Genomic DNA, 14076 nt, shown 5'->3' on the forward strand with positions numbered 1-14076 from the left:
GCCTTACTCTCCACTGTGTCTTTAGTGCTTACAATGGTGCCTGGAACTTAGTAGGGGCTTAGTAAATATCTGTGTAAAGAGTGAATGAATGAGTGAACGACTTTGGGAAGCTGTAAGGGTTATCTAACCCACTCTCACACTAACATTCTCTCTAACATCCCTGACAAACACTCATCCAATCTAGACTCAAGTCTCTCCAGGAAAAGAGAACTTAACATTTACTCAGACAGCTCATTTTACTATTGCCAGAGAGTTCTTCCTTATGTTGACTTCAAGTCTGCCTTATGAAAATTTTCTCCTTAGTCTTTATCCTGCTCTTTCAGCCATACAAAATAAGTTCTAATTTTTCAGTACAAATCGCCCTTCAAATTTATACAAATTGCACTGATATTCTCCTTAAGTCTTCTTCGTCTTCAGGTGAAATAGCTTTTAACTGTTTCTCATGTGATAAGATTTAGACTACCCCTCATCATCCTGGCACTCTTCTGTGACCACCTATTTCTGTCCCAATACTACAGTCTGGCATGTGTGCAATGTATTACAGCTAGTGTCTCCTTGGTGGATGAAAATCCATACATACTTTGGAATGTGGGTGATATGTATATATTCTTTATCGGTTTGGCTGGAGAATCAGTGGGGTCATAGTTAATGCTATTGGTACTGACAATAAATCTTTATAATTAGACTTCTAAGTCAGTGCCTTAGCAAGATGAGCAGGCCAAATGCAAACTCCCCTTGGTATATTGTTTCATTATGGCAAGACAGACTCAAACATGTAACAATACCTTGGGTTCTATTTGGAACCTTTTAATTCAAAAAAAAACTGATTAAAAAACACTTTTCTCTTTCACCTTTTTTCTCTCCAGTGAAACACATATCCAAGAAAAGGTAGTCTGCAGGAAAACTGGAGGAAGACTTATGCTTAGAGTCCTTGCTCTGCAAACTTCTACAGGTAACATTAATTATTTGTGTGAGTGAATACAACCGCATTGCGTAAGTTCACTTTGGATATTTCTGGCTTTCTGAGAAAGACAGAGATAAAATATATTTTGGTCTGAGTCACAGATTAACTAGGCATCTAGTCGTAACTTAAAACCTAGGACAATAAAAAGAGACCCTCATCAAATTAAATAAAACATTTGAACTTACTAAAAGGAAGTATGTTTAGAAACTGATACAAATTCAAATTCTCTCTCTCAAATAAAGTACAGTGTTTGCTTCAAATTAAGATCATTTGCCAATTTGATTATTAGGGTCCCTCACAGCTCAAAAACTGATTCATTAAGTACGGTCTAAATATAACCAATATTTCATTATTTACTATAAAATTTTGATGAGTTTAGGTTAGAAATATATATGCTGCTCTATTCTTTTTTTAACTTTTATTTTAAGTTAAGGGGAGCAAGTGCAGGTTTGGAACATAGGTACATTTGCGTCAAGGGGGCTTGTTGTACAAATTATTTCATCATCCAGGTTTTAAGCCTTGTACCCATTAATCATTTTTCCTGAACCTCTCCCTCCTCCAAACCTCCATCCTCAGAAAGGCCCCAGTGTGTGTTGTTCTCCTTTATGCATCCATGTGTTCTCATCATTTAGCTCCTACTCATAAGTGAGAACATGTGGTATTTGGTTTTCTGTTCCTGTGTTAGTTTGATAAGGATAATGGTCTCCAGCTCCATCCATGTCCCTGCAAAAGACATGATCTCGTTCTTTTTTGTGGCTGCATAGTATTCCATAGTGTATATGTACCACATTTTCTTTATACAGTCTATCATCGTTGATGGACATTTAGGTTGATTCCATGTCATTGCTATTGTAAATCATGCTGTAATGAACATACATGTGCATGTGTCTTTACAGTGGAATGATTTATATTCCTTTGGTTACATACCCATACATGTGCATGTGTCTTTACAGTGGAATGATTTATATTCCTTTGGTTACATACCCAGTAATGGAATTGCTGATTCAAATGGTATTTCTGTCTTTTGGTCTTTTAAGAAATCACCACACTGTCTTCCACAATGGCTGAACTAGTTTACACTCCCACCAACAGTGTATAAGCATTCTTATACTTATAATCCTATTCACAATTGCCACAAAAAGAATAAAATACGTAGAAATACACCTAACCAGGGAGGTTAAAGGTCTCACAAGGAGAACTACAAACCACTGCTCAAAGAAATCAGAAATGACACAAACAAATTGAAACACATTCAATGCTCACAGATAGAAAGAATCAATATTGTTAAAATAGTCATACTACCCGAAGCAATTTATGGATTCAATGCTATTCCCATTAAACTACCATTGACATTCTTCACAAAACAAGAAAAAAAACTATTTTAAAATTGATATGGAATCAACAAAGAGTCTGAATAGACAAGGCAACCCTAAGCAAAAAGAACAAAGCTGGAGGCATGATGCTACCCAACTTCAACCTATACTACAGGGCTACAGTAATCAAAACAGCATGGTACTGGTACAAGAATAGACATATAAACCAATGGGACACAATGGATAACCCAGAAATAAGAGTGCACGCCTACAACTATTTGATCTTTAACAAACTGAAAAAAAAACAAGCAATGGGGAAAGGAATTCATATTCAATAAATGGTGCTGAAATAACTCACTAGCCATATCCAGAAGATTGAAGCTGGACCCCTTCCTTACATCACACACAAAAATTAACTCAAGATGTATTCAAGACTTAAATGTAAAACCAAAAACTATAAAAATCCTGGAAGACAACACAGACATTACTATTCAGGATACATGAACAGACGAAGATTTCATAACAGAGACACCAAAAGCAATTGCAACAAAAGAAAAAATTGATAAATGGAATCTAATTAAACTAAAGAGCTTCTGCACAGCCAAAGATGCTATCAACAGAGTAAATAGCCTACAGAATGGGAGAAAATATTTGCGAACTATGCATCCCACAAAAGTCTAATGTCCAGCATCTATAAGGAATTTAAACCAATTTACAAGAAAAAAAAAACCCCATAATAAAGTAGGCAATGGACATGAACAGACACTTTTCAAAAGAAGACATACATGAGGCCAACAATCACATGAAAAATCTCAACATCCCTGATCATTAGAGAAAAACAAATTGAAACCACACTGAGATATCACCTAAGACCAGTCAGAATGGCTACTATTAAAAAGTAAGAAAATAACAGATGCTGGCAAGGTTGTAGAGAAAAGGGAATGCTTATGCACTGTTGGTGGGAGTGTAAACTAGTTCAGCCATTGTGGAAGACAGTGTGGTGATTTCTTAAAAGACCAAAAGACAGAAATACCATTTGAATCAGCAATTCCATTACTGGGTATGTAACCAAAGGAATATAAATCATTCCACTGTAAAGACACATGCACATGTATGTTCATTACAGCATGATTTACAATAGCAATGACATGGAATCAACCTAAATGTCCATCAACGATAGACTGTATAAAGAAAATGTGGTACATATACACTATGGAATACTATGCAGCCACAAAAAAGAACGAGATCATGTCTTTTGCAGGGACATGGATGGAGCTGGAGACCATTATCCTTATCAAACTAACACAGGAACAGAAAACCAAATACCACATGTTCTCACTTATGAGTAGGAGCTAAATGATGAGAACACATGGATGCATAAAGGAGAACAACACACACTGGGGCCTTTCTGAGGATGGAGGTTTGGAGGAGGGAGAGGTTCAGGAAAAATGACTAATGGGTACAAGGCTTAAAACCTGGATGATGAAATAATTTGCACAATGTTCCTGGTTTGGCTTTTGGCTTGACTGTTTTTTATATATAGAAATGCTAGTGACTTTTGCACATTGATTTTGTATCCTGAGACTTTTCTGAAGTTATTTATCAGTTTAAGAAGCTTTTGGGCTGAGACTATCAGGTTTTCTAGGTATAGGATCATGTCTTTTGCAAACAAGGATAGTTTGACTTTCTGTTTTCCTATTTGAATGTCCTTTGTTTGTTTTGTCTGATTTTCCCAGCCAGAACTTCCAATACTATGTTGAATAGGAGTGGTGAGAAAGGGCACTTTTGTCTTGTGCCTATATTCAAGAGAAATGCTTCCAGCTATTCAGCTATTCAGTATGATGTTGCCTGTTGGCTTCTCATATATGGTTGTAATTATTTTGAGGTATGTTCCTTCAATATTTATTGAGAACTTTTAAACTGAAGGAATGTTGAATATTTTTTCAAAAGTCTTTTCTGCATCTACTGAGATAATCATATGGTTTTTTTTGTTTAGTTCTGTTTATTTCATGAATCACATTTATTGATTTGTTTCTGTTGAAACAACCTTGCATTCTGGGGATCAGACCTACTCAATCGTGATGGATTAGCTTTTTGATGTGCTGCTGGATTTGGTTTGCCAGTGTATTGTTGAGGATTTTGCATGAATGTTTGTCCAGGATATTGGCTGAAAGTTTTCTTTTATTGTTGTGTCTCTGTCAGGTTTTTGTATCAGGATGAGTCTGGCCTCAGAAAGTGAATTAGGGAGAAGTCCCTCCTTTTTGATTTTTGGGATAGTTTCTGTAGAGATGGTACCAGGTCTTCTTTGAACATCTGGTAGAATTAGCTGTGAATCCCTCTGGTCCTGGGCTTTTTTTTTTTTTTGGTTGGTAGGCTATTTGTTACTGCCTCAATTTCAGAACTTGTTATTGGTCTGTTCAGGGATTCAGTTTCTTTCTGTTTCAGTCATGGGATGGTGTATGTGTATTCTGCTTGCTTAAGGCCTGGATTTTAATAGTTTTCCTTAAGCTTAAATCTTAGTTATTTTCTCACTACTTTTCTAATATATGCCATAACCTCCTCACCATTATTATTGATTGCTTACCATTTTTCTTTAAATTGACTCCCTTTTAAAGCTTAAATACGTATGTTATCCATTTTCAACATTATGTTTGTTGGCATCATGGGCTTGATATGCTCAATATTTTTTTAAAAAATTGTTTAGGTACTATAATTTTCTATGAATTATGTGTATTATACATTTCTAACTACACAGTCTGCCTTCTGACAGTATTCTACAGTCTTGACTCAATTGACTATAGTCTTTATTTATATATATTCAGAAATTTAAAATTTCATTACAATATAGGTACCAGGAATTGGATCAGCGCTACCCAGTGTCAAATGTGTTTGTGGGACAGAGGGATGAGAGAGCTGCTGATGAGACCAGATGAAGGAGTTTCTGTCTGCTCATCACCTTTCTCCCTACTCATCTCCTGCTATGCCAGTTTTACAATTTTCTTCCTTCAAAACTCAGCCATCTGCTATATGCATGGTAAAAAGTCCTTGAAAAGTTTGCAGAATTTTACCTTTTGCTCTTGAAGATATTAGACTGGAACATGATAGAAGCATAACGCAAATAGCATTAAAAAAGCAGAATGAATTTTCTTCTCACTGTTGACATGGAACTTCAGTTGTTTTAGCTTCACGGCCCAAATGACTTGGTCTGTGGAAGCTACTTTTGGCTTGCTATCCCAGCTGAAATAATAATATTCAGAGTACAGTTGAAATTGTTTGAAACTTCAGTATAGTTGAATCTCTAATGCTCAAGTCCAGGTGATTAACTTTTAATTGGCCTAAGGACTTTATGCTGATCCTTCAAAACCTTTCAGTAGCTATCTCTTCTATCTTTCTTACAGTGATCAATGAACCCTTTGGTTCTCCAGCTCCTGGGTCAAGAAATGGCAAAGGAGATAATGGTATTGTTATCACTCTAAAGGTTTAAGTTGCAAAAGCAGTTTCATCTCCAAAAAAATGTTTGTTTCTTCTTAGGCACTGTGTCCACAGATCAGTTTCTTGGGTAAGGTTGTATGGGTCAACTTACGAAACTTTCTTTAATCATGTCAAAGGACCTAGAGTTTGTTTGCCCATGCTTAATTCTGCTCTTTATAAACTCAAACAAAAATACACTCTTCACTGAATTACCAGCATGAGTATTCACTAGTCTTGAATTACTATTATAAAGAATAATTCATAATTTAAAGTAAGATTTAAAGAAACATGAAGGTTTTGGTTTTTAACAAAGACATATAGTGGCTTCCTCTAAAAACTGTTGAGACTGTTTAGAGTTATCATTATAAAACAAGGACATTCTCACAATGCACGGACACGGTGAAGTTTATGTTTAATTAGAAAGCTGTCACTGGAGCTCAAGGGTCAATTAATGTCACCTCCTGGATCATGGTTGACATAATATGGCATGTACATGTAATGTCATAACTTAGAAGAGACCGCAGGAAAAAAAACAATCAAAGGTCTTTGATATGGTTTGGCTCTGTGTCCCCACCCAAATCTCATCTCAAATTGTAATCCCCATAATCCCCATGTGTTGAAGGAAAGAGCCGGTGGGAAGTGATTGGATCATGAGGGCAGTTTCCCCCATGCTGTTCTCATAATAGTGAGTGAGCTCTCATGAGATCTGATGGTTTTATAAGTTGTGTTCTTTCTCTCTCTCTCTCTCTCTCTCTCTCTCTCTCTCTGTCTCTTTCTCTTGCCTGCTGCCATGTGAGAAGTGCCTGCTTCCCCTTCTGCTATGATTGTAAGTTTCCTGAGGCCTCCCTGCCATGTGGAACTATGAGTCCCATTTTCCTTTATAAATTACCCAGTCTTGTGTAGTATCCTTATAGCAGTGTGAAAACTAACTCATACAGTCTTTATGCATTTATGTAGCTCTAGAAAACCGAGCAGTTCTAGAGATATCAATTATATAGATTAGTAGTTTTCAATATGTATCAGAATAACCTGAAGGATTTAATAAAAGAGAAATGTATGGGCTCCAGCTCCAGAGATTCTGACTCTGTATGTGTAGTATGGTACCTAAGAATTTGCAAATCTAAAAGTTCTCAGGTGTTCCTGATGCTGTTGGTCTGAGGGACCACACTTTGAGAAACATTGGATTAGAGTCACCTATGGTAAAGAAGTTCCATGGTATTTCTATGAAATAACATTGGCATTTCCATAAGCTATAAATTAAAATGCAAGAGTCACAGAAAAGGATAGAGTCAAACACTTACTGAACACCTACTGTGTAGGATGCACTTGCTAGATACTTTATACAGATATCTTATTCAATTTCATCATTGCTTCATTATCCCCATTTTTCAGATTAAAAAAATGGAACTCAGCAAGTTAACTAACATTCTGAAGGCCACAAAGCTATCAGGTGGCAGAGTTGAAATTCAAACCCAGTTCTGCCTAGGTTGAAAACTTACAGTTTCTCTTCTAGATCATTTTGCAAATACTATTATTTAAAAAAATATACCTAAATATATCTATCTATCTATCTATCTATCTATCTATATCTATCTATCTATCTATATATATATATTTATTGGTCCCCCAGTTTATGCACCCATTCATCACTCATCTATCCATCCATCATCCACCAATCAATTAATTGATCCATTTGTTCATTCATGAAAACATTCTTAAACATTCATAGTTCTTTAGCCTCCCATATGTGCAAATACTTTCTCTTCTTTAGGCCTCACTTCCATCATGAGTGCAATAAGAAGGTTGGACTCAATGATTTTTAAGATTTCTTTTATTCATTCATTCTTATTTATTTATTTTTGAGACAGGGTCTCGCTCTGTCACCCAGGCTGGAGTGTAGTGGTACAATCATAGCTCACTGCATCCTCGAATTCCTAGGCTCAAACAATTCTCCCACCTCAGCCTCCTGAGTAGCTGGGACTGTAAGATAACACCACCACGACTGGCTGAACTTTTTCTTTTGTAGAAATAGGGCCTCACTGTGTTGCCAGGGCTGGTCTTGAACTCTTGGCCTCAAGCAATTCCCCAATCTTGGCCTCCCAAAGTGTTGAGATTACAGGCATGAGCCACTGTGCCAGACCATTTTCATTCTTTAAAGCCAAACAATGCTCAGAGCTGCTCTTTCTTTAGCAATAAAAATATTACAAAGCTTTTCAAGCAAATGAAGTTAAGTTATCTTTCATAAGAACGAATTCAGAGGAAAATCCCTGTGTAGTTATGGAGGAGAATTATATATGAAAACACATCTCTCTGTTAGTACTGCAAAAATATTTCATTAATTAAAATTAAGACATAGTAGAAGACTATGGTAGTTATAGCAAAGCTATATTGAATATTTCACAAAAATATGAATAAACAATTTACAGAAAGCATAATGATTCCAGCAACTTTGAAAGTACTTAAGCCCCAAGGACATTATACTTAAGAAATGGTTAGAGTCAAATAGAAAACTTGTGATCATCTAGCACTTAAAAGAGTTTGAATTTTCAAGTTCTTAAGATAAATTAATATTCATTCTTTATGAAGATAACTTTTTATTTGATCTGTAATAAAATCTCCTTTGTGAACAGAAAGTAAAATTACTACTTGACCCAACTATTCGATTACTGGGCATATACCCGAAGGAAAATAAATCATTATACCAAAAAGACACCTGCATTTGCATGTTTATTGCAGTGCTATTCACAATAGCAAAGAATTGGAGTCAGCCTAGGTGTCTGTCAATACTGGATTGGATAAAGAAAATGCAGCACATATACACCATGGAGTACTATGCAGCCATAAAAAGAATGAAATAATGTCTTTTGCAGCAACATGGAAGCTGGAGAAAATTACCTTAAGCAAATTATAGCAGAAACATAAAACCAAATACTGCATGTTATCATTGATAAGTGGGAGCTAAACATTGGGTACATACAGACATAAACATTGGAACAAGAGACACTCAGGACTCTAAAAGGGGGGAGTGAGGGAGGGGAGCAAGGGTTGAAAAACTACTTGTTAGTTACTATATTCAGTATTTGGGTGACAGGTTCAATTGAAGCCCAAACCTGAGCATCATGCAATATACTCATGTAACAAACTTGCACATGTACTCCCTGAATCCAAAACAAACAAATTTTAAAAATAAAAAATAATAAAAATCTCCTATGCTCAAATATCTTTCTTTCTGTTTTATGCACTTTAAGAAAACTCTAGGCCCGGCATGGTGGCTCACGCCTGTAATCCCAGCACTTTGGGAGGCCGAGGAAGACGGATCATGAGGTCAGGAGATCGAGATCATCCTGGCTAACACGGTGAAACCCCGTCTCTACTAAAAATACAAAAAATTAGCCGGGCCTTGTGGCAGGCACCTGAAATCCCAGCTACTTGGGAGGCTGAGGCAGGAGAATGGCGTGAACCCGGGAGGCAGAGCTTGCAGTGAGCCGAGATACAGCCACTACACTCCAGCCTGGGTGGCAGAGTGAGACTCCGTTAAAAAAAATAATAATAATAAATAAATAAATAAATAAATAAATAAAATAATAAAAAAAAACTCTGAAGAGGATCACATAGAAAAAAAAAAACAAGCAAACACAGTACACCACCACCACCACCAACAACAAAATAGCATAAATGGAACCATGTGAATGGGGATTGCAAAAAGCCAATGATGGGCTTTGCAAGTGAATGGCAGATTTGTCTGGGATTGAGTTACAGCTTAAAACGATCTCATTTCTTATGAATGAGGGAGTTAGGTTTGTCAATGAAATGAATATCAATTTTTATCATATCTATATCTATAGCTTTTGCTATGGAACTTCAAAGACTTACAAATCTAAATTAGTTCAGAATTTAGATCTTTGAACTTTCTTCTATACTTATGAAAGCAAAAATATTTATGAAGCCTACAATGCCAATCAGCCAAAGATACCCCTTATTTGAAGCCATTTTTGTATTACATTTGACACATATCAAGGTGTGAGATTCATTATCTGAGGCATTCCCAGAACTGGAGTGATTTGAGTATGTCTGTGAATTTTATCTCTCTTCTTTTCTAAAAGCTCTTTCCCATTCTTGACACTTCCAAAAAAGGTGCAAACTAAATGTGAGATGTTAGAGAAATATATTAATGAGGGAAGATGAAAGAACATTGGAGAATAAATTTCAGTTGTTTTTTGATTTTGATGGAAAAGTTTTCACAAAAATCACACTATCTAAAGATTCAGAAACTGTTTAGAATCTTGGGAGTTGCCTATGATTTTAATAGAATGTTAACAAGGTATTTCCAGAGAGATGTCGTTGTCATCAATTGATGACATGCCCAGATCTTGTTTGTTTCTTCTTTAAGGAGAAATTCATTTTCGTTTTTCCTTAGAGAATGTATTTCCTCTTCTGTGAAAATGCACCCTCCTGTCACAACAATATGAACTCAAGAAAAATTTTATAGCATTGGAGCTCACTTTTCAATATTCAGAGGAAGCAAAAGGAGAACAAGTTTGCATTGACCCTCAAAGGGAAAAATTTGCAGCATACTAAGTACTCCTTGTGAAATTAAACAGTTGGAGAAACACCATGTCCTTCTATTGGTTCAGTTTTGATAGAAACTATGATTTTCAATAGTTATAGGAGAGCAAAAATGCTCTGCTGCTGATTTTGGAAGAAAATGAATTGAGTTAGCTGTTCAATGGACAACAGATAACTTTGGATAGTGCTTTTCTTTGCCTTTGCTCATAGTTATCACCATATTTTACCCTGAGTTCTCAATATAGTAAAATAAAGTAGGATTATCTTATAAGCAGAATAATGAGCCTCCTTATACTTTAACTTGTTATCATGATTAAAAGCTACTGCAATTATAAAACTGAAAGAACTCCCTGTAGCCAAGTGCCTTGACGTAGGTTGGAAGTAAAATGGTGGATTTTGTCAAACACGTGGGATTTAGACTGCAACTCCCTAATACTAGACCTACTATTGATTTCTGGCTAGGTCTTAAGCAACAGGATTAACCTCATATTTTTGCTTTCATTTAGGTTTTTAACCTCCTTTTATTCAAGTCTTTATTTGTGCAATGAGATAACAGGCTGAGACTATGTGGTTTGGGTGGGACATTTCAACTAGATTCAGAAATTTGTACTCATAAAGGCATGCCCAAATTTGTCCATGAAGATTCATCATTTTTTTTGCTAATGGTAAATGAAAACATGCCATGTTGAATTTGGTTTCCTTCCACGGATGTTAGCATGGATGTCTGGATTTTAAAAAGTAGATTATTAAACTGACCATAAAGCCTCAGTTTTAAATTCAACATGGTGTGGTGGAAAGAACATTCAACCTTAAGCAAATCCTGTAATTTTTCTGGGCCATAGTTTTCTGATTTGTTCAAACAGAGTAGAAACACCTCCCGAGCATCCCCCAGGGATGTTATAAGGAACAAATGAGAGAAAACGGAAATACATTTTATAAATTAGAAATTCTATTTAAGTGTAGCATATTATTTACCCCATAACATTTTAAATTAGAAAGAATATTTTAGTTGAAGGAGTCTGTGGCACAGAAAGGTTAAAGAGTTTAACAAAATAACCCAGCTAGTAAGTTGGAGAGCCAGGACTAGAACCCAACTTATTTGATACTTATGCTAATCTTCTAAGAATCCGGAGTTTCAAGTAAGATAATGGCCTCCAGTTCCATTCATGTTGCTACAAAAAACATTATTTTATGCTTTTTAAAGGCTGAATAGTATTCCATTGTGTGCATAAACTATTTTCTTTATCCATTCATTTATTGATGGACATTTAGATTGATTCCACATCTGGGCTATTGTGAACAGTGCTGTGATGAACATACACACAAAGGTATCTTCTTGACATAATGATTTCTTTTTTTAACTTTTAGGTTCAGGGGTACATGTGCAGGTTTGTTTTATAGATAAATTATATGTTATGGGGGTTTGGTGCACAGATAATTTTGTCACCCAGGGAATAAACATAGTACTGATAGGTAGTATTTTCATCCTCACCCTCCACCCTCAAGTAAGCCCCAGTGTCTGTTGATCCCTTCTTTGTGTCTGTATATGCTCAATGTTTAGCTCCCACTTATAAGTGAAAACACGCGGTCTTTCATTTTCTGTTCCTGTGTTAGTTTCTTTAGGATAATGTCCTCCAGCTTCATCCATGTTGCTGCAAGGCACATCATTTTATTCTTTTTTATGGCTGCATAGTATTCTATGTATGTGTACCACATTTTCTTTACCCAGTCTACCACTGATGGGCATTTAGGTCAATTTCATGCTGTTTTACTGTTTACTTTTTTAAATAGAGAGACAGGGCCTCAATTAGTTGCCCAGGCTGATCTCAAATTTCTGGGCTCAAGAAATCCTCCCAACCCAGCCTCTCAAAGTGCTGGGATTATAGGCATGAGCCACTGTGCTCAACTCCTATGTTTTTGCTATTGTGAATAGTGCTGCAATGATGTCTCCATTTTACCATTCACCAGAGTTGATTATCTTTACTTTCATCCTTGGCTTGAAAGAGTCAACAGTTACCAGTGTTCTTTTATCTCCTCCATATCAAAAAAGTTGACAGATTATCAATATGTGGTATAATTATGACAAATAGGCAAGGCTATTTTTGCAATAGCAAAGATTAGTAACCTTTGCTGAGTAATTATTATTTCTGAGGTCTTTATATGCATTGTCTCATTTTTCCTCACAATAGCCCAGTGAGGTACTAGTTTTAATCCCCTTTAACAGATGAGAAAATTGAGACTCAGAGAGGATAAGTAACTTGTTGATATGGTTTGGATTTGTGTTCCAGCCTAAATCTCATGTCAAATTGTAATCCACAATGTTAGAGGAGAGGCCTGGTGGGAGGTGATTGAATCACGGGTATGCGTGGATTTACCCCTTGTTGTTCTCATGAGAGTGAGTGAGTTCTCATGAGATCTGGTTGTTTAAAAGTGTGTAGCACCTTCCCCTTCTCTCTCTTTCTCCTGCTGTGACTATGTAAGACATGCCAGCTTCCCCTTTCACCATGACTGAAAGTTTTCTGAGGCCTCCCCAACCATGCCTCCTGTACAGCCTGAGGAACCATGAGCCAATTAAAACTCTTTTCTGTATAAATTACTCAGTTTCAGGTCTTTTTTTATAGCAGTGTGAGAACAGACTAATACACTTGTCCAATGATATATGGCTCATTAGTGATGGAGCTTGTATTCAAACTCAGGTCTGCCTGGTCCTGTGTCTGAGATCTTATGTACAACCATGCTGTCTCCAAATTAAAAAAAAAGATAAAATTTGATGCTGCATCTACAAAATCTGTATTTGGGTAGTAGGTTAGAGAAGAGAATAAAAAGCCTCATGAGTCTGTTTAGTGATATATTAGATGAAGTAGAAAGGGCCCAGGCTTTAGAATCAAAGAGACCTTGGTTTGAATCCCAGGTCTGCCAGTTACGAGCTGGGTGACATTGTCAGTCATTTAAACCCCTGAGCCTGGTTGTCCTTATCTGTAAATTGGAAATAAAAATACCTCACAGAGTTGCAATAAGGATTAAATAAGATGATGGATTGTAAGTGTTTGAAAAAGAGAAGGTATTAAATGCATGGTAACTGTTAAAATTATATTTGCTGATATTATTGTTATTATTGAAATTTTAACAGATTTGGGAGATAGGGAAAATATTAACATGAAGAATATACTTCTAGATTTCATTGCTTCATGATTCCTACCCCTGCTTAGTGTTGACTCTACATGGAGGTGGCCTTCAGATCAATTTTACAGAGTAGTCAGTATGCTTTTCCACTTCTGAGCTAGTGTTCATTTGAGTATAGGAATTTAGAGACTTTTCAACAGTTTCAAAAAATACTAAGTTTCTACTTGTGCATGACATTGTAAGGAATGAAAAAATCATATGGTCTAGAGAGAGATAACTGCCATTGATCAATTTATATGTTATCCCATTTTATCCAATAAATTCACTTAACAGGAATTTAATGAACAACCATAATATTCAAGGCAATGTGCTAATTGTGGCTGAGGTAGAAAATAAATAGAGCAGATATATGACATCTTGGCCTTTGTTTTCATGCAGTCCTATACTCTAGGTTGAAAGTGAAAAGTGCCTTTAGAGAGGTCTATAAATGGGGCAATGGAAAATTAGAAAAGGAAATAATGACTTCTTGCTGGGACTGAGTGCAGGAGGCAGCATTTCAGCTGAATCCTCCCGATTTGGAGATAAGAGAGGGAAGAGAGCGGGTGATTTTTATTATACATTCTAATGCTGATATAATTT

At 36.1% G+C, this 14076-nt stretch overlaps 1 long non-coding RNA gene across 1 annotated transcript in view; it reads left to right on the top strand.

Moving 5' to 3' along the window:
* The window catches only part of LOC107985670 (uncharacterized), a 68935-nt gene that overhangs the window by 21459 nt on the left and 33400 nt on the right, over positions 1-14076 (top strand). The window contains exon 2 of the long non-coding RNA XR_001755900.2: positions 867-952. This is a non-coding gene — a long non-coding RNA (uncharacterized LOC107985670). The remainder of the gene's footprint in view (positions 1-866; positions 953-14076) is intronic.

This window comes from Homo sapiens, chromosome X, assembly GCF_000001405.40.
Source record: "Homo sapiens chromosome X, GRCh38.p14 Primary Assembly".
NCBI lineage: Eukaryota > Metazoa > Chordata > Mammalia > Primates > Hominidae > Homo > Homo sapiens.